Here is a 22762-nt window from a genome sequence, read left to right as displayed (position 1 = left end):
TTTGTGAGGTGTTCTTGGATGAGCTTAACATTCAAATCAGTGGACTTTGAGGAAAGCAGGTGGCCCGCCATAATGTGGGTGGGCCTCATCCAATCAGTTGAAGCCCTGAATAAGACAAAACCTGACCTCCCTTGAGGAAGGGGTAATTCTGCAGCAGAAACCTTGGGACTCGAGCTGCAGCATCGGCTCTTCTCTGGGTCTCCAACCTGCTGGCCCACTGTATTCGTCTGTTCTCACACTACTAATAAAAACATACCTGAGACTGGGTCATTTATAAAGAAAAAGAGGTTTAATGGACTGACAGTTCCACGAGGCTGGGGAGGCCTCACAATCACGGTGGAAGGCAAAGGAGCAAAGGCACGTCTTCCATGGCAGCAGGCAAGAGGGAGCTTGGGCAGGGAACTCCCTTTTATAAAACCATCAGATCTCCTGAGACTTATTCACTATCATGAGAACAGCATGGGAAAGACTCAGCCCCATGAGTCAATTACCTCCCATGGGGTCCCTCCCATGACATGTGGGAATTACAGGAGCTACAATTCAAGATGAGATTTGGTGGGGGGACACAGCCAAACCGTATCACCCACCCTGCAAATTTTGGACTTGCCAGCCTCTGTAATCACATGAGCCAATTTCTCGAACCTCTCTCTCTCCCCACTCTCTGTCTCCCTACCTACCTATACATGCATACACAACCTGTGTGTTCTGTTTCTCTGCAGGGCCTGACCAGTACAGGCCCCCTTTAGCCATTGTCTCCCTTTGGCATGAGGCAGAACAGATGTGCGCAGGGAGAGGACAGCAGCTGTTCTCCAGTTCCCTCAGCTTTTCCATTGCCCCTGCAAAAATGTAATAGAAAAACTCAGCTCAAAGTGGCTTCAGCCACACCAGGGCTTTATCAGCAGGTGTTACTGGGAGTACAGGGCTAAGGCAGTCTCCAGGGTTATTTGACTCAGCAGCTGGTATCAACAAGGCCCAATTATTTTCCTATCTCTCCAGTCTTTTCTATTTCTGATGTTAGTTTTGGTTAGAAGAGGGCTTCCCTCATGGTGGCAGAAAGGCTGCATAGTTCCAGCCGTACCTCCTAGTCCAAAAGGAGAGAGATGTCTGTGTCCTAGAATCCCAGCAAAAGTCCTCAGCCTGAAGGAGGGCTGACTGGCCCCCCTACTTCAGAGCCAAGATGTATGGCCAGAGGAATGACACAAACTGATCAGCTCACTATCTAAACCAATTGCTGTGGCGAGGGGCATGGGTTACCTCTTGGCAGGAGGGTTTGGGGCTATCGTGGGGTTGGCTTCACACAAACAGGGTGGTTGTTACACAGTGGATGTGTGTGTTTTGGGGGCCCATATAGATGCTTAGCTCAGAGGTTTAGCCCAGGTGGTCCAGGCCCTACCCCTTTCCCTTATTCCCCCTCTACTTCCTTCCCCTGTCTTCTTCTCTCTCCTCTGTGCTCACAGGCTGTGGCCCCACCCTGGCTAGCTGCCCAGGCCCTCTGCTGGGAACCCCTGATATAGCCATACCGTTTGTACCTGCCCAGTCTCATTTCTTCCCCTTCTGGTAACAGAACCCCGTCCCCTGGAGAGACATCCCCCCGTCACTCCATTTGGCTGTGGGGACGGTTGCATCCCTGCAGCCCTCCCTACTTACACAGCCATGAGATCCAGGCCGGGCCAATCAGACTTCTCTGGGATTTTGCTTCCCTCTTTCCTGTGAAGCCATTAGCTGGGTTGATGTGAGCTGGAGCTGTCTGTGGCCTCACCCCGCCCCTGCCACATGGAAGAAGCTGTGTGCAGAAGAGACAGAGACAGAGAGAGAGCACTAAGAGGTCAAAGGATAGGCTTTAGTCCCTGGATTCAGCTGTGTCTGAAGCCAGTGCTATCACACCTGGCCTTTTCCATTACCAGAGCTGCTAGATGCCCTTCCCCTTGAACTAGCTTGGTTGGGCTTTTGTGGCTCGTGACCAAAAGCCCCTGACTGGCATACCAGCATTCATTTCTTTATTCATTTAATTCAACAGTCAACACTTCCTTTGAGCCAGGTAATTCTGGAAGATAGGTACCGTTACTATGCTGATTTCATAAATGGGGAACTGAGGCATGGAGAATTTAAGCAACTTCCCCAAGGTCATTCAAGGTCATTTAATTAGTAATAGTGTCGCTGGGATTGAACCTGTCTCTGTCTGTTTCCAAACAGTCAGCTTCCTCCAGCCAGAAGCTGCTATGAAGTTATCCAGGCAGAGTCTGGCGAGAGGAGAGGCCAGCTTCTCCTAGGCTTTAATAATAGCAGCAGCAATAACAACAACATGCAACGAAGACTCATGATGTGCCAGGCAGTATTCCAAACACTTGACGTGGATTCTCCTCTTTAGGTGCTTATATGTATTTTTTAATCCCCATTTTTTAGATAGAAACACTGAGCTTCAGAAAGATGCAGTAATTTTCCCAGCATCTTGCAGCTAGGAAGTGATGGGTTGAGATTTTCTCTTGGCAACAATTTCCACTGGAGGGTCAGAGCCCAGGGCTAGGATTGGGTCTCTTCTGTTCCTCAGGAAGGCAGAGCCTCCCAGGCCATCCCTGTGCCAAGCACTGCTGTTAAATGCCCAATAACCGGCCAGGTGCCTCCTCCCTCCCTGGTCTTCAGAGCTGCTGGGTCAGGGACCTGGCTGATTTCCCAGTAGTAGAGCCTCAAGGGTGGGTCATGAGAGGGTATAAGTCACACACAGTATGATTCTCAAAGTGGCTTTGGCCTGTGTGTGACTGACTTCAAACAGCCATGGGAGGAGAGGGTGGGAGTGAGGAGGAGAGTGGGAGTGAGGGTTAGGAGTGGGAGTGCGGAGGGGCTGGTGCCTAGAACGCAGGTCTCCTTTGGGCTGGAGGCGCAGGCTTATGTTTGGTCTGTGGTGGCAACATGCCCCTCACAGTGGTGCCCGTCACCCCAGGTTCTTCAGGGTTCCGGTCTCTTGGGGGTGTTGGGGGGGCAGCTAATCTATTGCCTGCACACTCTCCCTCTTGGTAGGAAGTGTGCATCGTGACAGGGGCCTTCTAGAGCCAAGGTCTTACCCCAAAGATGAGGAGGCACAGGGGTGAAAACGCTAGAACAATGGATTCATCTTCCTGGGGGTCCCTGCAGGGACCAGGCTCACAAAAGACCCCAGGGAACCTGGGTAGCTCTTTCAAGGGTGTCCTGCTCCCTCCTGGGTCCCTCAGGTCCTCCCATCAGTGCCTTTGCCCTACGCTGCTGCGTTTCCTGTGCCCTGAAACACACAGGGCTACCTTCCTGAGCGCCCAGGCCTCCCTGCTGTTCACCCGCTTGGACTGGCTGTGTCCACAGCTGTCAACCCTCTGTGGCAGTGGATTATATTCAATTTAGCACTTGATTAAGCCCTGATATTTGCTTTTCCTTAAATTGCTTTAACTTTTCCAACTGATTTCAATCCCCTTTCCCCGAGTCTGCTCTGGTACCCCCCTGCTTGACTGCAGGCCACACTTTTTGGCCCTCTCCTATGTACCCACCCTGAGTTGCTCAGGCACAGAGGATCCAGGTTAAACACATGGATGTTGGCTCCAAGGATATCTCTCCCCTGCCTCAGCTCTGTACCAGATGCTGCCTTGGCCCCAGGATGAGGGAAGCCATGGGAGAAGCTGGTGGAGTGTCTCCGATGCTTCCTCTGAGGCAGGTTGGGGCAGGCCGGGCTGTGACAACAACTGTGTCCGCAACTGGTGGGTTTTTGGTCTCACTGACTTCAAGAATGAAGCCGCGGACCCTTGCGGTGAATGTTACAGCTCTTAAGGTGGCGCGTCTGGAGTTTGTTCCTTCTGATGTTCAGATGTGTTCGGAGTTTCTTCCTTCTGGTGGGTTCGTGGCCTCGCTGGTTCAGGAGTGAAGCTGCAGACCTTCACGGTGAGTGTTACAGCTCTTAAGGCAGCACGTCTGGAGTTGTTCGTTCCTCCCGGTGGGCTCGTGGTCTCGCTGGCTCAGGAGTGAACCTGCAGACCTTCGTGGTGAGTGTTACAGCTCATAAAACCAGTGTGGACCCAAAAAGTAAGCAGTAGCAAGATTTATTACAAAGAGCAAAAGAACAAAGCTTCCACAGTGTGGAAGGGGACCCGAGCGGGTTGCCACTGCTGGCTCGGGCAGCCTGCTTTTATTCTCTTATCTGGCCCCACCCACATCCTGCTGATTGGTAGAGCCGAGTGGTCTGTTTTGACAGGGCACTGATTGGTGCATTTACAATCCCTGAGCTAGACATAAAGGTTCTCCACGTCCCCACCAGATTAGCTAGATACAGAGTGTCCACACAAAGGTTCTCCAAGGCCCCACCAGAGTAGCTAGATACAGAGTGTCGATCGGTGCATTCACAAACCCTGAGCTAGACACAGGATGCTGATTGGTGTATTTACAATCCCTGAGCTAGACATAAAGGTTCTCCTCCTCCCCACCAGACTCAGGAGCCCAGCTGGCTACACCCAGTGGGTCCCACACCGGGGCTGCAGGTGGAGCTGCCTGCCAGTCCCGCACCATGCGCTCGCACTCCTCAGCCCTTGGGTGGTCGATGGGACTGGGCGCCATGGAGCAGGGGGCGGCGCTCGTGGGGGAGGCTCGGGCTGCACAGGAACCCACGGAGGTGGGGGAAGGCTCAGGCATGGAGGGCTGCAGGTCCCGAGCCCTGCCCCACGGTGGGCTGGCACTGCTGGGGGACCCAGTACACCCTCCACAGCCGCTGGCCCGGGTGCTAAGCCCCTCATTGCCCGGGGCCGGCAGGGCCGGCCTGCTGCTCCGAGTGCGGGGCCCGCCAAGCCCATGCCCACCCGGAACTCCAGCTGGCCCGCAAGCGCCACGCGCAGCCCGGGTTCTCGCTCGCGCCTCTCCTTCCACACCTCCCTGCAAGCTGAGGGAGCCGGCTCCGGCCTTGGCCAGCCCAGAAAGGGGCTCCCACAGTGCAGCGGTGGGCTGAAGGGCTCCTCAAGTGCCGCCAAAGTGGGAATCCAGGCAGAGGAGGCGCCGAGAGCAAGCGAGCGAGGGCTGTGAGGACTGCCAGCACGCTGTCACCTCTCACAACCACAACCACCTTGAGATTGCAGGGGCTCGCAACAACAAAGGCGTGTTCCTCACCTGCTGACAGCTGTCCTGAGCCACAGGGGGCTTTGCTTGTGTCTTCTCCATCCAGGACTCAGGCTGGTGGGGCAGCCACTACCTTGAATGTTGTTGGCCACCCTGGTGCGGCTAGTTCCAGCACCTCTGGGATCAGCAATCAAATACCTGCTCCACCCCGCTTGCACATCCCTCTAGCTTACAAGTGCCTGGAGGAGAACCGCCCTAATGACCACCCCAACACGTGGAATCTAACAAACGTGAAGCAGAAGCTGTTCCGGCCCAAGCCTAGTCTGCTCCCTCTTGACCAGTAGTGGCAACTTCCACCCACAGGCTCAGGCCTGGGGTCCTCCCTGTTCCTTCTTTCCCTCCTCTCCATGAAGCCCCGTGGGGGAGCTGACTGGGTGCTTCCCATCACTGCTGCTTGGTCTTTTGCACGGGTGCCCATGGCACTTTCTGCTGTGCTTCATGATTCCAGGCTCCTGGCTAGTTAGTTGCTGATTCCCCATGGAGCAGCCAAAAGGATCCTTTCCATGCATCCACTAAAAAAAACAAAAAAAAAAAAAGCTTGTTTTTTGTTTATTTTGTTTGTTTTGAGACGGAGTCTCACTCTTTCACCCAGGGTGGAGTGCAATGGCGTGATCTCAGCTCACTGCAACCTCCACTGCCCGGGTTCAAGCGATTCTCCTGCCTCCGCCTCCCGAGTAGCTAGGTGCCCACCACCATGCCAGTCTAATTTTTGTATTTTTAGTAGAGACGAGGTTTCATCATGTTGGCCAGGCTGGTCTTGAAGGCCTGACCTCAAGTGATCCACCCACCTCAGCCTCCCAAAGTACTGGGATTACAAGCGTGAGCCACTGCACCTGGCCTAAAAAAAAATGTTTTTATTGAAACATAGTTCCTATAACATAAAATTGACCTTTTTTTTTTTTTTTTGGAGATGGAGTCTTGCTCTGTCGCCCAGGCAGGAGTGCAGTAGCTCCATCTCAGCTCACTGCAACCTCCATCTCCCGGGTTCAAGCAATTCTGTCTCAGCCTCCTGAGTAGCTGGGACTACAGGCACATGCCACCACACCTGGCTAATTTTTGTATTTTTAGCAGAGACAAGGTTTCACCATGTTGGTCAGGCTGGTCTCAAACTCCTGACCTCAGGTGATCCACCCACTTTGGCTTCCCAAAGTGCTGGGATTACAGGCATGAGCCACCGTGCCCGGCTTAAAATTCACCATTTTAAAGGGAACCCTTCAGCCATTTTTAGTATAGTCACTATGTTGTACGATCATCACTGCTATCTAATTCCAGAACATTTCCATCCCCCCAGAAAGAAGCCCTGTACCATTAGCACTTGGTCCCATTCTCCCCTCTCCCAGCCCTTGGCAACCACTAAGCTGCTGTCTTCGTGGATTTGCCAATTCTGGGTATTTCATTTAAGTGGAGTCACGCACGATGTGGCCTTGAGTCACTGGCTGCTTTCATCTATCATGGTGCTTCCAGGGTTCGCCCATATTGCAACGTGCATCAGAACTTCATTTCTTTTGATGGCTGAGTACTATTTCATTGCATGGACATACCACATGCTGTTAATCAAAAGGTTCTTTTTTGTTTTGTTTTGAGACAGGGTCTTGCCCTGTCACCTAGGCTGGAGTGCAGTGGCACAATCATAGCTCACTCCAGCCTTGGACTCCTGGGCTCAAGTCATCCTCCTGCATAGCTGAAACTACAGGCATGCTCCACCGTGCCTGGCCAATTTTTAAAATTGTTATAGAGATGGGGTCTTGTTATGTAGCTCTGGCTGGTCTCAAATTCCTGGGCTCAAACGACCATCCCACCTCAACCTCCCAAAGTGCTGGGATTACAGGCATGAGCCACCGTGCCCAGCCAAAAGTCTCTTTTAAAGGCAGGATCAGGTTCTACCATGTCCCTTCCCACAATTCTGTAATGGCTCCTCTGGCAATGAGAGCAAACCCCATGCCCCTCTGCTGGCCCCAAGACTCTGCAAGGCAGGCCCCTCCTGTGTCTGAGCTCAGTCTGCTTTTCTCCCGGTCATCTCCTGGGTTTCAGCGGCTCTGGCCTGGCTTACCCTCGAGCTGGTCAGACTCACAGCAGCTTCAGGACCTTGGCAGTGGCCTCTGAAGCCTGTGTCTGGAACGCTCACTCCCATCCTATTTTGTTTGTTTTTACTTTTTATTATGGAAAACTTTCAGAGACAGTAGAAACACAATCGAATAATGAACCCCTCTCCCCAATGTATCGTGTTGAAGCAAAAACCAGACATCGTGTCATTTATTCTGTTGATATTTTAGCGTTATCTCTAAAAAAATGCTCTTCCTCAAAACATAATCGCGATGCTCTTATCAAACTTAAGAAATAAACCTTATTCTGTTAATATCATCCAAATCTAGTCAGTGTTCCAATTTTCCCCATTGGCCCATACATTTTTTAAATGCAAGGTTTCAATTTATTTTTATGGCACTTTTACTTGGAACGCTGTGGGTTTCTGCCCGTCTCCAGAATTAGGTGGCTTTTTAATGCAGGTAAGTGTTCTTTTATTTTATGCCTTTGCCTTGTTTGTTCTGTAAGTTAACCCTTCATATTTTTTTTTTCTCTCTCTCTCTCTCTGTCCTTGCAATTGACGTGGTGAAGAAACTGAGTTGCATATACTTTAGAGTTCCTGCTCTCTGGACTTTGCTGATCGTATCTTCAATGTGTCATTTAATATGTTCTCCTGTCCCTTTTGCTCCTGCAAAATGGCAGTTAGGTCTAGAGGCTTGATCACAGTCAGGTGAGATATTGAGCAAGAATACGCCAAAGGTAATGCAGTGTGCTTTCTTTTTTATTTTATTTATTTATTTATTTTTGAGACAGAGTCTTGCTCTGTCACCAGGCTGGAGTGCAGTGGCGCCATCTCGGCTCACTGCAAGCTCTGCCTCCCGGGTTCAAGCGATTCCCCTGGCTCAGCCTCCCGAGTAGCTGGGATTACAGGCGCGCAGCAATGCAGTGTGCTTTCTTTGGGAGGTTCACAATGACATGCTTTCTCTTTTTGTGAGTTTAACCAGCCACTGATGAGCATAGCATAGATGCTTTAACTCATAAGGGCATGTATAATGGTGGTATTGGATCCAGTGGTCCAGTGGGGGTGGTTTTGCCCCCAAGAGAGATTTGGCCATGACTGGAGACATTTTTGGACTGGGGAGATGCTACTGACATCTCATGGGCAGAGGCCAGAGTTGCTCCCAAACATCCTATGACACACAGGGTAGTCCCACACGCCCAGCAGTTGCCCAGCCCAGATGTCAATATCTCCAAGGCTGAGAACCCCTGAGAAACCCTGTCCTAATCCAGCACCCCTTCTTTGTGGTAGACTGAGTCCATTCTTCATTGATCTATGTAAACATCCACACAGGTTGGGGCCACCCAGTGAGCATAAAGTACATCCTTGTCCATTGACTTTGGGCTTGTTTGGGTCAGTGGGATGTTAGCAGGCCTGATGTGATCAAAGATTTGAACTGTGCCCTTCCTATGCTTACTTTTTAAAAATATAAGCACAGCTGGGTGTGGCGGCTCACACCTGTAATCCCAGCACTTTGGGAGGCTGATGGGAGGATAACTTGAGTCTAGGAATTTGAGAGCAGCCTGAGCAACAAAGTGAGACACTGTATCTACTGAAAACAAAAAAATTCTGGCCAGGCACAGTGGCTCACACCTGTAATCCCAGCACTTTGGGAGGCTGAGGCAGGTGGATCACCTGAGGTCAGGAGTTCAAGACCGGCCTGGCCAACATGGTGGAACTCCATCTTTACTAAAAATACACAAAAATTACCCAGGGGTGGTGGCACATGTCTGTAATTGCAGCTATTCGGGAGGCTGAGGCAGAAGAATTGCTTGAACCTGGGAGGCAGAGGTTGCAGTGAGCCGAGATTGCGCCATGGCACTCTAGCCTGGGCAACAAGAGTGAGACTCCATCTCAAAAAAGAAAAAGTCAACCAGACATGGTGGTGCACACGTGTAGTCCTAGCTACTTGGGAGGCTGTGGCCAGAGAATCACTTGAACCCAGGAGTTAGAGGTTGGTGCTATGATCGCACCACTGCGCTCCAGCCTGGGTGACAGAGTGAGACCCTATCCCTGCACAGCAGTTTACACAGATTCCCTCACTCCTGTCTACAGCTGCGTAGCTCTCCTCCTTCGTGGGCCTGTGCTATCACTTATTCAACCACTCCGATATTAATCATCCTTGGGTTGTTTCCAGTCTTGCTTTTACGGGTGGAGCTGCCGTGAATAAACTTGTGCAAACATCTTTTCATATTTTCGCCAGAGTATCTTTGTTACTGTAGAGATTTTCTTGACCGTCTTCTTATTCAGAATTCATCTTAAATAAATGTCACCTCCTCAGAATAGTCCTCCTTGATTGCACTGGCCAAAGCGGCCACTCTGCTCCCCAAGTCACCGTTGAATCTATCCTTTTCCCTGTGTTATTTTCTGTGCCTTACCCTGGGTATGTGTTTACCATCGTGTAAGCTCCTCGAGGGTGGGGACTTTGTCGTATTCTCTATACTCCCACCCCACCATAGCACCAAAGCGTAGCACGGTACCTTGCTAAGGAACTGAGGTGGTTCCCAGGATGTGAGACTTTCAGTTTTTTTTTTTTTTTGGAGACAGAGTCTCACTGTGTCACCCAGGCTGTAATGCAGTGGTGCATCTTGGCTCACTGTAACCTCCACCTCCCAGGTTCAAATGGTTCTGCTGCCTCAGGCTGCTGAGTAGCTGGGACCATAGGCACGTGCCACCACACCTGGCTAATTTTTTGTATTTTTAGTAGAGATGGAGTTTCACCATTTTGGCCAGGCTGGGCTCAAACTCCTGACCTCAGGTGATCCGCCCGCCTCGGCCTCCCAAAGTGCTAGGATTATAGGCATGAGCCACTGTGCCTGGCTGAGACTTTCAGTCTTAAAACTGGGACAGTCTTGGGTACATGGGGACTATTTGGTCACCCTACCTGTCACATAATAGGTGCTCATTAAATATTTATTGAATGAATTTATGCAGACTGGGGGTAAGTATGTCTTATTTGACCTACACAGCATCTAATTAAATGCATTTTCATTAGATAGCTTTTACAAACCAGAGTATTTCATATAAAAATCTGAATTCCTGCTTTCTGGAAAAATCAGCTGGTCTCATAACATGGGGGCCTGCATTTCCACGGGGCAGCCATCGACAGCAACTGGACTTTGGTTGTCTCTGCAGATGGCACCTGTGTGTGCCAGCTCCTGGTGGTGCCTACCACTCACAGTCCGCTCACCTCCTGACCTGCTTGACCTTGTTAGGCAGGCGTTTGGGTTTTTTGTGGCCTGATGGTCTGGTGGTTAACTGCATAAACTTTTGAACCAGGCAGATTTGGATGTAGGCCAGGGCAGGGATGCTTACTAGTTCTGCAACCCAACCGTGGCTGGTTCCCCAAGCTCTCTGGGCCTCAGTTTCCTCAACTTCACCTCTGACCCTTCTCCTAAAGTTTAAGGCACTGTCTCTAGACACCCCTCTTGAAATGTGAATGCCTTAGCAGGTCGGAGGATGTAGTAATCCATCATTTCTCCTTTCCTGATTCCCCTCCCTACCACCATCCTATGGGAGAGCTGGGCCCTGGAGGACCCGGAGTTCCCCCTTCCCCCATCACATGGTGGGGACACTGAGCTCAGGGCTGGACCGAGCCAAGAGTGGGAGTTGTTGTTTAAGACTCAGTGTTCCCCAGGCTAATCAGGGAAACAGGAGCCCCAGTGTGGGTCACCCCACAAGATGTGTGCCTGGGTCTGGGGCTGGAGACTAGAGGTGGGAATGGAGAGGGTGCCTGAGGCCGAGGCTGGCTGGGATGGAGAATGAGGAGCAGGGGCTGACACAGGGGGTGGATCTTTCTGTTCCAGGCTCAGATCCCTCTTAAAATGCAAATCCCCTGGGAGGGCCAGGCAGGGCTGTTTTCAGTTTCTCATGCTGCTCTGGAAAGTGGAAGATTTGAGGCCCTGGAAGCCTGAAATTGGGACTTAGACCGACTCCACGGGTGCCCCTCCCCATCCCCAGTGACTATGTGGGTGCTGCTGCTGCTGCTGTTGGAGGCAGGCCTCGGGGCTCTGACTCTGGTGGAGCTGAACGGACCATCCTGGCTCCAGGCTCCCTCTGGGAGTCCCCTCCTTGCTTCCCGGCTGAGCTGCCCCTCTTCCAGGAAGTCTTCCCTAAACATTCCACCTGGGGAGGCATCCCCGCTCTGAATTTCCCCCATCAGATCGTGGCTTAATCTCTTGTGACTGCTGTACTTGTCTGTTTCTCCAGGAGGGTTGTGAATTCCAGCGGCACGGGGCTGTTGTGTGCCTTGTTCACGGCCATCTCCCTTCCACCCAGTGTCTAGCCCAGTGTCTGTACACAGCAGATGCGAAGTGCGTGTGAATAAGTGGAGGAAGACACAATCCACTCCTGTGTAGTTCAGCCAGGCCTGCAGTGAAGGCCAGAGGGGCGGGAGCCATGGAGGCAGAGCTCAGAGAGGAAAAGAGATTCTTCCAGCTTGGACAGGTTCTTCCATGCCAAAGCCCATGCTCATGGTGGCCTTGCAAAGTCACCCCAGTTGATGCCTTTCTCGTCCCTGGCCAGTGTGGTTGGGAATGGGAATGTCTTCAGCTTGGGTGATGGTGGGCTCCCCAGCCGAGGTCTTCCTCCCCAGAGGGTGAGGCCTTGGGCTCCTCCCTGGAAGGTGGCCCAGCCTTTTTTATTTATTTATTTATTTTGAGACAGGGTCTCACTCTGTCACCCAGGCTGGAGTGCAGTGACACAAACACAGATGATTGCAGCTTTGACCTCTTGGGCTCAAGTGATCCTCCCACTTCTGCCTCCCAAAGTTCTAAGACCACAGGCATGGCCCATCATGCCTGGCTAATTTTTAAATTTTTATTTTGTAAAGATGGGGTCTCACCATGTTGCCCAGGTTGGTCTAGAATGCCTGGGCTGAAGCGATCCTCCAGCCTTGGCCTCTAAAAGTGCTAGGATTACAGGTATGAGCCACGATGCACAACCCGCCCAGCCTCTTAAATAGCCCAGGGAGCAGTACTGGGTTAGGGGAAGGAGCGGGAAGTGTGTTTGTGGCTGGAACCACTGGTTCCCCCTGCCATGGAAAATTCAGGACCCAACCCCTATGCCGCCTCATGGATAATCACATCTGCCACGGGTTTCCCCTCTTCTCCTCTTCCCATGAGTGTGTCCCTGTCTCTCTGGCCTTTTCTCCCAAACCTACTCATCTAGGTAGAGGGCCCTGGTCAGTTGTTAACCTCAGAGCCTGCCTGGCAGAGAAAGGCAGTCCCAGTCACCTTTACCCAGTCAAGATACCTGGAGGGGAGCGCACACCTGTCTGCTGAGGATTCTCCCCGAGCAAACCCAGAACACTTATGCTGCAGGTGCAAACGCTTTCCTGGCAGGCTTGTCCTTGACTGGGCTGTTGGGTCCACAGCTGTGCAGCACTGCCCTGCCCAGACCTGCAGCTGTCAGCTGCCGGCTGCGTGGGGGAAATATTGCAGCTTTTCCCCGTTTCTTTTCCCCATTCCTCTCTATTGAATTGAAGAAGGGAGGTCATAAATGTGGCAGGTTCATTAACTAGGAAATACACTCCAAACCACACAAATGAAATTCAACCGACTGGCAAAATAACATTTTTTATTGCTTTGCTCTTGATGGGTGAGAGGAAGGTTTTTGTTTCCGTCTTCGTGTGGTTCTGCGCTTCTCTCCATTGTGGGCATTGCTGGCAGCTCCTATTGGCCTTGGCCTTGGACTGACCAAGTGTGGTTCTAAAGAGTCCTTCGGGGGGCTGGAGAGCAGGACAGGGAAGCTGAGGCCCAGAGAAGTTCCTTATTCCAGGTCACTCTAGGACTTTGGGTGTATGAGCTTTTAAAGATCCTGCAAAAATATCTGAGACCTTAAAATATTTATTGGCTACCAAATGGGAAAAGAAAACTGTGAAATCGAAATTAATAAATGTTAAATGTCTACAAAATGTAATATTAGGTCAACTGCATTAATTACCACATTAGGTATTCATAAATGTGTCATTATGCGTGAAAGCAATTTGTCAGCTACATTTTCTCACTTGGTAAGAATTCCCAAGTAGACAAGAGAATGGATGAGAAAGCATAGCCAACTGCCAATTAAATCAGTGCCTGGTAGCCAGGCAATTCCAAAAGCAAAATCATAAAATCCCCTTTAAAAATTGTTGGCAAATATGTTCTATTGAGTGTGGGCTGTTACTGGACATTGTTTGCTTTGATACTGGGGAGGGCTTTAAAAGTCCTTTTGTGTTGGGCCTGGCCCAGGTCTAGGGCCTGCTGTTGGCTTCTGTGAAGTCTCAGTCAGAGCCTTTCTGACACCTTCACTGTCCCTGGCAGGAACCCCTCACCATGGCTGAGAGAGGGGCTCAGAGGAGGAGCCAGGAGGAAGCCGGGAAGGAGCCGGCGGCAGCCCCTCCTGCCCCTTTGATTCAGTCATCGTGGTCCCTCTGCCATCTCCTCATTAAAAAAAAAACAACTCCTTGGAACCAAGCTGCAAGCCCACAGCATAGACAATATTGGGATTAAAGCCATGGGGCTTGACTAGGGGAAAGTGAGGTCTTGGGAGAGTCTCAAAGGTTGGGTTTGGCCCAGCTCAGCTGGGCAGAGGTGTCTTGGAACTAGCCCATGAAAGGACACCTATGACTGGACTGGTGGGCCATCTCCAGTCCAGCGCCAGATCTTTGTCTGGTTCTTCCATGAAGAGCTGTGTGACCTTGGGTGAGACCCTGCCCTTCTCTGAGCCTCAATTCTTTCACGTGACATCTGAGAGGACTGGATCATCCCTTTGAAGTCTGAGAGCAAGAAAGGGCAGCTTGAAGATGGAAACCTCTTCATTTTACAGCTGAAAAGAATGAGGTCCAGAGAGGGGAAGGGATCTGTCCAAGGTCACACAGGGAGCTAGGATCAAAGCAAGGCCAGAACCCCATCCTGATCCCCTGGTTCCCACCATGTCATCTCACCTCCCCCATCTGTTTCCACTTCCCACTGCAGGGCCTTCCACTGGGGAGACCAAGGGACCCAGCCCCTGTGGTGGCCAAAAAGCAGGTGACCTCTAATCATTTCCCCAAGAGACTGTCTCTCCATCACTTCCCCTACCCCTGAGAGAGGTCTGGACTTGGAGGCAGAAACCTGGGCTTCAGACCCTTCCTTCCACATTTAATGAATGTGTGACCTTGGGCAAGGCATTCAACCTCTCTGAGTCTGTTTTCTTATCTGCAAAATGGAGCAGTGGTGCGCTGTACCCACCCTGAGGGGTGGCAGCAGCTCCCTGGCTTCCATTTCCTGAGACCTGGACCTTCTCTGCAGGAGGCACCCACCTGCCCATCCAGGAGAGATGCAATTACATCTGTGATTTGTCACACAGGAACCACTCCATCTGGAGAAACAGCAAACAAGAGCATGTAGCTCCTGGTGCAAGCCGTTACAAATACCACCCTCCAGGACCCCTCCCTCTCCCAGGGTCCTGGGAGTCCCCAGAAGCCCAGGCTTGCAGTGGCACCTGCTGCTGGTAACTGGCCCAGCTCTGGTTCCATGTCGCCCCCATGCCCACCCTCAGTCCCCTCCCGACTCTGATCAAAGAGTGGAGCCAGGGGACCCAGAGTCCCTGAATGTTGCCAGGAGTCTCCTGATTGGCTCCTTTGCTGGGTGAAGGCCCTGCTCCCTGGGGTGGAGTTGCCAAGGGGTGGGGCTTCCAGGGCAGGGGGCCCGGGCACCTGGGTGCCTGGCCATACCTTTTCTGGGTGAGAGGCTGCAGGGAGCAGCAATGTGTTTTCGCTTTGACCAGCTGATATCGAAGAACATTCTAGACAATGCTGAGCACAGTCTCCCCTGAGTCAGACAATCTGGAAGGAAATGAAATTGTATGGAGATTATTCACCAAGGAAACGTGTGGCCCTCTGCCTCATTCCTTTGCCTCATTTGAATTCAAAGATGAAATCAAATGAACACCGAGATTTCTTGAGCACTTACTAGGTGCCAGGCACTGTGCTGAGCATTTGACCTGCATTATCTTATTTAACCCTCCCCACAGCCCTCTGAGGATAGGTACTGTTATTGTCCCCATTTTATAGGTGAGGAAGCTGAGGCTCAGGCCACTGGCCTAAGGCCATGCAGCTTGAAAGTAGCAGAGCAGGGATCTGAAGGCAGGCCAGGGTCTCCAGGGCCCGAGCCCCCAACCACTAGGTGATGCTGCCCCTGCTGACACTTTGGCCTTCAACACTGTGGGACTCCAGAATCCTCCTGAGACTCCATCCTTGGAAGGCCACCTTCCCCTCTGGGCCCCCTGGTTCCCCAGAACTGGGCCTGATGCTGGCGGAGAGGGCTCAGCTGCCTCCCGCAAGGCTGTTTCCTGCAGGACTATCAGCCCCTGGAGGCCTCCATGCCCAGCCCTGACACCAGCCCAGTGTGCTCACCAGTTCCACTCTTGCAAGCAGGGAGCTGGGGACAAGGAGGGATGAAGAGTTAGAGGCCTGTGGGTGGAGATCACGTGGAGAGGCTCCGGGAGAGGCCCACTGGGTTAATGAAAATCTGTCCCTGCAATGTTGGCAGCAACAAGACTGTGATTATTTCTCCGCCTTAGACCCCTGGCCCTGCCCTATTGACAGGATTCAGTGTCATTGATTGTCAGGGGCTGTTGGAAGAGCCAGAGGGGCAGGCAGGTCGATGTTCCAGGGCTTGGCGGGGCTGTCCCTGCAGAGTGGTCAGGCAGAGACAGTGGCTTGGGCTTGGGCCCCAGCTGTGGTCCTGAGTGGCATTTCAGACCTGTCTGAAGAAGGGAAAGGGATGCGCTCCCAGGAGGCCGTGTGACGGGGGTCCTGTTTCTGTGGCTCCCTCCCCATCTCCCTCTGCAAGGACCATCTGGGTAGGTTCCCCAAGGCGCAGGGTCTGCTCCCCTTGGCCTATCTGACCCGCCCTTTCTCTCTCTCTCTCTCTTTTTTTTCTTTTTGAGATGAAGTCTCTCTTTGTTGCCCAAGCTGGTCTCGAACTCCTGGCCTCAAGCTATCCTCCTGCCTCAGCCACTGTGCCTGGCCACAGCCCTTCTCTTTAGGCCTCCCCACTGCTTGCTCAGAACCTGCTGAAGCTGCCAGCTCCTCTTGTGTGAATCTACTTCCTCTTCTCATTCTTCAGCCCCTTCTCCGGGAGTGCATTAAGATTCCCACATCTGGCTGGGCGTGATGGTTCATGCCTGTAATCCCAGCATTTTGGGAGGCAAGGCAGGCAGATCACTTGAGGTTGGGAATTTGAGACCAGCCTGGCCAACATGGCAAAACCCCATCTCTACTAAAAAATACAAAAATTAGTCTGGCGTGGTGGCACATGCCTGTAATCCCAGCTACTCAGGAGGCTGAGGCAGGAGAGTCGATTGAACCCAGCAGGTGGAGGTTGCAGTGAGCTGAGATCACACCACCGCACTCCAGCCTGGGCATCAGCATTGAGACTCCATCTCAAAAAAAAAAAAAAAAGAAAGAAAGAAAGAAAAAGAATAGATTCCCACATCCAACTCCCAACACCCTCCTGAGTCCCAAGTCCTTTGGGCATCCCCACCTGGCCAACCCCAGGGCCCTCAGACTCAACACAGCCCAGCAGGTCCCACTGTCTTCCTTCTACAGACCTCCCCACCACATGGCTTGCTCTGCCCTGAGTTTACCCCCCAGGTGAATGGCAGAGACACACACTTTCTAGACACACAGGTGAGCTGAGTGTCTCAGTGGTGTCCAGTTAGCATGATGTGGTCAGTATTGAGATGGAAGTGACTGGGAGTGGGGTGAGAGGGGTCCAGTGGTCAAGGGAGCCCTCTCTAAGAAAAGGGTATTTGTTCTGAGAGCTGAATGATGAGACAGAGCTGGCTTTTCAAGGAGCTGAAGGACGTTTTCTGAACAGGAGAACTAGCAAATGCAAAGGCCCCGAGGTAGAGGCAGCAAATCTGGCGTGTTTAGGAAGTGACAGGACAGCCGGTGTGAGGTGAGGGTGGTGGCTGAGGGACGATGCCTGGGGTGACGTCAGAGAAATCAGCAGGTGGAGCTCGAATTTTCTCCAGAATTCAGCGGGAGGTGTTGGAAGCAAAGGTAACATCATCTGATTTATATTTTAAAAGGATTCTGGCCAGTGTGGTGGCTCAGGCCTGTAATCCCAGCACTTTGGGAGGCCGAGGCAAGTGGATCACCTGAGGTCAGGAGTTTGAAACCAGCCTGGCCATCATGGAGAAACCCCGTCTCAACTAAAAATACAAAAAGTAGCCAGGCATGGTGATTACAGGCTGAGATACATGCCTGTAATCTCAGCTACTCGGGAGGCTGGGGCAGGAGAATCGCTTGAACCCGGGAGGCGGAGGTTGCAGTGAGTTGAGATCGCGGCACTGCACTCCAGCCTGGGCAACAGAGCAAGACAACATCTCAAAAATAAAATAAAATAAAATAAAATAAAATAAAATAAAATAAAATAAAAGGATCCTGGCCATGCACAGTGGCTAATCTCGGCACTTTGGGAGGTTGAGGCAGGAGCATAGCTTGAGCCCAGGAGTTTGAGACTAGCCTGGGCAACATAGCAAGACCCCATCTCTACGAAAAATTTTAAAATTAGCCAGATGCAGTGGCACACATCTGTAGTCGCTACTTGGGAGGCTGAGGTGGGAGGATCACTTGAGCCTGGGAGGTTGGGGCTGCAGTGAGCTGTGATTGAGCCACTGTACTCCAGCCTGGGTGGCAATATCAATATTTAATTTGTCAATAAATCAATAAATAACATAATAGAAGGATCCCTCTGGCTGCTGGTGGGCGGTAGAGCTGGAAGCATTTAGGGAGTTGACTTGGAGAAGGAATGGTGGGTCAAGGTGTTTTAGGAAACAGTGAGAACTGGGACGTATTTTGGAAATGGAGCCAATGGAATTTGCCAGTTGGACACAGAGGGTGGGACAAAGAGGATGATGCCTGAGCAGCTGAGACGGGGAACAGGAAGGGAGGGGTGGGTGCAGAAGGAAATTGAAATTCCTGTTTTGAATTCCCATTGTAGTGAGCATTTCAAGCAGGCATCTGCATATCTGAGCCTGGAGCTGAAGAGAGATGGCAAGGCTGGAGGCGTGAGTATCACTGGATACACAGAGCCTCACCTCCTGGTGTCGTGCTCATGCTCCCCTGCTCACTCCTGTGCTTCCCATTGGACTGTGAGCTCCCTGAGGGCAGGATGGGGGCTTATTATTGTTATACCCCCTGGGCTCTGGGGCAGAAGCCACTCAATAAATAGTTGAGGAATGAATAAAGGCATAAATATTGATTTTACTTGTCCATTTAAAAGTGTTTGCTGAGCACTTATTCTGTGCCTTGTTTTGTTCTAGCGGCTGGAAATACGGCCGTGAGTGAGGCAATGTTCCTGCAACTTAGATTTCAGTGGGTGAGGCAGGCCAGAACCAAGCCAACAAATACATAACCTAATGAAGAACAATGACAAGAACTAAGAACAAAAATTAAGCAAGATAAGGAGATAAAGAGGCCTAGGGATGCTCCTTAGAGGGAGGTTAGAGGAGCCTCCTTAAGAAGAGGACATTTGAATGGAGACTTGCGTGAGGGTCAGTGCTGTGGTTATCTTGGCAGCAGGAACAGCATGTGCAAAGGCCCTGGGGCTGGGACAAAGATGTCTATCCGTGTGGTGCTCAGGGCAGACACACTTGGGGGCTGATGGGAGTAGGTGAGGGGCTTCCTATTTTTCACTCTAAGGCGAAGTGCATTCCCTTGACTAAGCGGCTAGAGATGGAGGTTTGAAAATTCACTAGCAGGAGCATTTTTTCTTTTTCCATAATTTCTAGGTTCAAGAAGAGCCACTGAGTAAAGAGGTCAAGAGCCTCTTGTAGGGAAAGAGAACAGGAGCGGCAGGCAGGACTCTCAGCCTCCCCAGGGCCCGTCCTGTCATTGGGGGTGGGGCGCGAGTTAAGCTCAGAGACACAAAGTTCCTTGATGATGGCGCTGAGTAATAGCGTGCCGTCTTGATGGGGCTGTTATCCACAATCACGGGAGGCATCTCCGGCTACACTGCTTGAGTGCTGAAACGCCTCTACTCTGGAAAGCTTTTGCCCTGATTATGTTATTTTAGCTTCACGACATTCCTGCCTAGAGGGGGCAGGGCACAGGAGCAGCATCCTGAGTTTTGCAATGTCGACTTCAGAGAGTGGAGGCAGATCTAAAGTCAGAGGCTTCACACTCCCCACTCTTGGCTCCTCTCCCTTCCCCAGCAACCACTGAGGGGAATTTTGGGGAAACTGAGGCTGCCGTCGGCTCCGTGTCTCAGTGGAGAAGCCTGCAGGGCAGCGGGAGGGCCGAGGCAGAGACCTGGTTCCCTGCTCCCAGCCTGTTTTCCAAAGCTGGATTTGGCTGGAGGGATTTGGATCAGATGTTGGGCCAGAAGGGACACAGGGAGGGATGCTTGTGGAAGGGGTGGGGGACAAGGGCCTCCCAACTTCCCAGAAGAAACAGTTATTTTGTTTCCTGGTAACTGTGACCCTTTGAAAATGTTGTGCAGACTCATGTCTCCATTTCCTCCTGGCCACACCTGTCCAGGTGCCTCCGTCCTCTGGCTCTCCCTCTGCAGTTGGCCTCCCCTCCATCCTGCCCAGGCCAGAAATCCTGGGGGAAGCTGGACACAAGTCACTGCAGTTGCTGGCTTGGGAGAGACAGCCGTTCTGAGTGACGAGAGTCACAACCAGAGACAGAGCCACCTTCCCTTTAGAAGAATTATGCTAACAGCAGCAACGACAGCAGTAATAATAAAGCTGACACTTCTACCGTCTCGTGATGAACTGTTACTAACTCCATTTTACGGAGGTGGAAACTGAGGCTTGTAGAGGTTGGTGGCGTTCCCAAGGTCACACATTTAGGAAGAGTCAGAGGTGGGATTTGAACCCTCACCTGGCTGACCACCCTGCTTGTTCTGCCTGTGACTGAGCTCAGAGCCCTGTCACTCACCGGGGGGCCTTGACCACTGCCTCTCCTTGGGCCGCCTCTGCAGGTGGCTGTTGCTTTCAGGGCCCCCTGGCACTGGAAAACCTCTGACTCTCCTGCAAAACCCCTGCTCTGGAAGCCCAGAGCTGGCAAGGCTCGTTCTGCTTGCAGAAGTGTGGGGCAAGAAAAGGTTTTGGAATTTCAGATGCCTATGGGAGCCCAGGGAGCCCCCCATGGACTCTGCCTTCTGCCCGCCCCTTTCCTGTTCCTGTCACCACCTGCCCCTCCGTCTCGCCTCCTCAGACTCTTAAGTTGCTTAGCCTTAACCCAGGAGGCTAGGAGGCCAGGAGCAGAGCCTCCTGCTGCTGTGACTCTCCCCAGTTTGTAGTTCTCAGCACTTTCTCACACCCTGGGAGGGAGGCCGATGGTGACACTCACGACCCACCTGGGAAGGGTCTGAGGCTCAGACAGGTGAGGCACCCAGGATGGCACAGCCTGGAAGGGGAGAGCCAGGACTGGCAGCCTGGTCTTTGAATGATAGAAAGGAAGTGCTGGTAACAGATTCCACCTGTGGCTTCCGCCATGACCAGCTGATCCTGCCTGTGCTGAGACCACGTTCCCTTGGGAACAAATGGAACCTATCTAACATCTGTTGAGTAATTGCTAACAGGCCAATTCCAAGAGCCTTGCGGGTACTACGAATTCATTTCATTCCACCACAACCTGTGTGATAGGCACTGATCATCTCCATTGTACAGATGGGGAAACTGAGGCACAGGGAGGTTAACATCACACAGCTAGTGAGTAGCACGGACAGGATTCAAATGCAGCCTATCTCCAGAGAACTGCTAGGCTGGATGCTACAGTATTTGATACTGATTCATGGAAAATATTTTAAGTGTAAAATTAAATAAGTTTAAAATTTAAAATTGCCTGTATTAAAAAGAATGCAATGGTATGAAATTGGGAACGTCTCAGAGAATCCGCTCTGTTGTTGTTGTTGTTGTTGTTGTTGTTTTAACCTGTATTTGGTGTTAGGTGGGGCAGCTGCCAAGGAGCAGGCTCTGGAGTCAAGTCAGGAGGTCCTGGATTTAGGTCCTGGGTCCTCCCTCATCAACAGTGGGCAGATTACAGAACTTACAGTCTGTTTCCTCCTCTGTAAGGTGAGGATGATAATAGCTTCGACCTCATGGGGTTGTTGGGAGGATTAAGTCAGAAAATACACATAAAACACATGGCACAGTGTTTGACATATAGTAACAATTCAATAAATGATAACTTTTATTATTTTAAGAACTCTGCAACTTTTTGTGAGTATTTAGGTGGTGTGGTGGGGAGATCTCCAGGGCCTGTGTCCCCATTATATTGCTTGCATGACAGATCATCCCAAATCTCAGTGGCTTAAAACAACATCATTTATTTTATTCAATTTGGGTGCTCTGTGCGGCATTAGCAGGGCAGCCTGCATTGGGACTGGGGCACCCACTTTCAAAATGGGCTACTCACCTGCCTGGTATGTTGGTTCTGGCTCAGCTGAGAGCTTGGCTGAGGCCATGGGCCGAGGGCCTCGTCTTCTTTCCATGTCAGTTTCTCCATGGGCTGCTTGGGCTTCCTCACAGCATGGTGGCTGGATTCTAAGAGTGAGCATTCCAAGAGAAGTGAATAGAGGCCGTGTTCTTTGGAAGGGCCATATATGCAAAAAAAAAAAAAAAAAAAAAAGGCCCCCAAATGCAGAAGGAGCCAAGAAACCTAAGAATGAGGCAGACAAATCTAGTTTGCCAGTAAAGGGTGATTTATTGGGCAACTTATAGACAGTAGCATGATCTTGGGCAGGCACAAGACAGGTAGACCTCCGTGCTGTCACTCCTCAGATCTGAGGCTTATATACCACAGGGAAAGGGGGTATGTGCTCTAGCAAGACAATTAAAGGCAATCCGCCAGAACAGGTGAGAGTGCTATATGTATCACAGCTCACCATGTATGTGATAGCATCATGGTTGATTTGTTCTTACACTAGGGACAATAAACAAAGTAGGATCAGGAGGCATTCATGGGACTTGGGCTAATCAGAAGTCAACACGGCAGATTAGTAGTATCCAAGGTAGAGTCACTTTTGTCTCCACAGGCTGTCTCACCCTTTATGACCTAGATTTAGAAGCCACATAACATCATTTCTATTGAAGCAGTCACACAGTTTCTTCAGATTCAAGGGAGGAGACATAGAACCCTTACTCAATGAGAGTATCAGAACATGTAGCATGGGACGTATTTTTTTTGTGTGTGGCTTTTTTTTTCTTGAGACGGAGTCTCACTCTGTGGCCGAGGCTGGAGTGCAGTAGTGTGATCTTGGCTCACTGCAACCTCTGCCTACTGGGTTCCAGCGATTTTCCTGCCTCAGCCTCCTGAGTAGCTGGGATTATAGGCACGCGCCACCATGCCCAGCTAATTTTTGTATTTTTAGTAGAGATGGGGTTTCACCATGTTGGCCAGGCTGGTCTTGAACTCCTGACCTCAAGAGATCTGCCCACTGTGGCCTCCCAAAGTGCTGGGATTACAGATGTGAGTTACCGCACCTGGCCAGTATTGTTGACCATCTTTGGAAAATACACTTTCCCACACTCAGTCACCAGCCTATTTCATTAGTCAGCAGTGGCTTAACATGAGGGAGC

General features: G+C 51.3%; 1 long non-coding RNA gene across 1 annotated transcript, besides 1 other annotated feature; it reads right to left on the bottom strand.

Moving 5' to 3' along the window:
• Nucleotides 1-270: 270 nt before the first annotated feature.
• LINC01647 (long intergenic non-protein coding RNA 1647) lies at nucleotides 271-4095 on the bottom strand. The gene is made up of 3 exons (NR_104624.1): nucleotides 3513-4095; nucleotides 1648-1783; nucleotides 271-836 (listed from the first exon to the last, which is right to left on the bottom strand). It is a non-coding gene; the product is annotated as a long intergenic non-protein coding RNA 1647 (long non-coding RNA).
• Nucleotides 12287-12787: an enhancer, noted in NCBI's record as "H3K27ac hESC enhancer chr1:11660896-11661396 (GRCh37/hg19 assembly coordinates)". NCBI's record gives its function as "activates a minimal SCP1, AML or CMV promoter by ChIP-STARR-seq in primed H9 embryonic stem cells {active_cell/tissue: H9 hESC(primed)}" and the evidence as "EXISTENCE:reporter gene assay evidence [ECO:0000049][PMID:30033119]".

This window comes from Homo sapiens, chromosome 1 (assembly GCF_000001405.40).
Source record: "Homo sapiens chromosome 1, GRCh38.p14 Primary Assembly".
Classification (NCBI taxonomy): Eukaryota; Metazoa; Chordata; class Mammalia; order Primates; family Hominidae; genus Homo; species Homo sapiens.
Note: the sequence above shows the minus strand (reverse complement) of the source record. Positions and strands in the feature narration are given on the sequence as shown.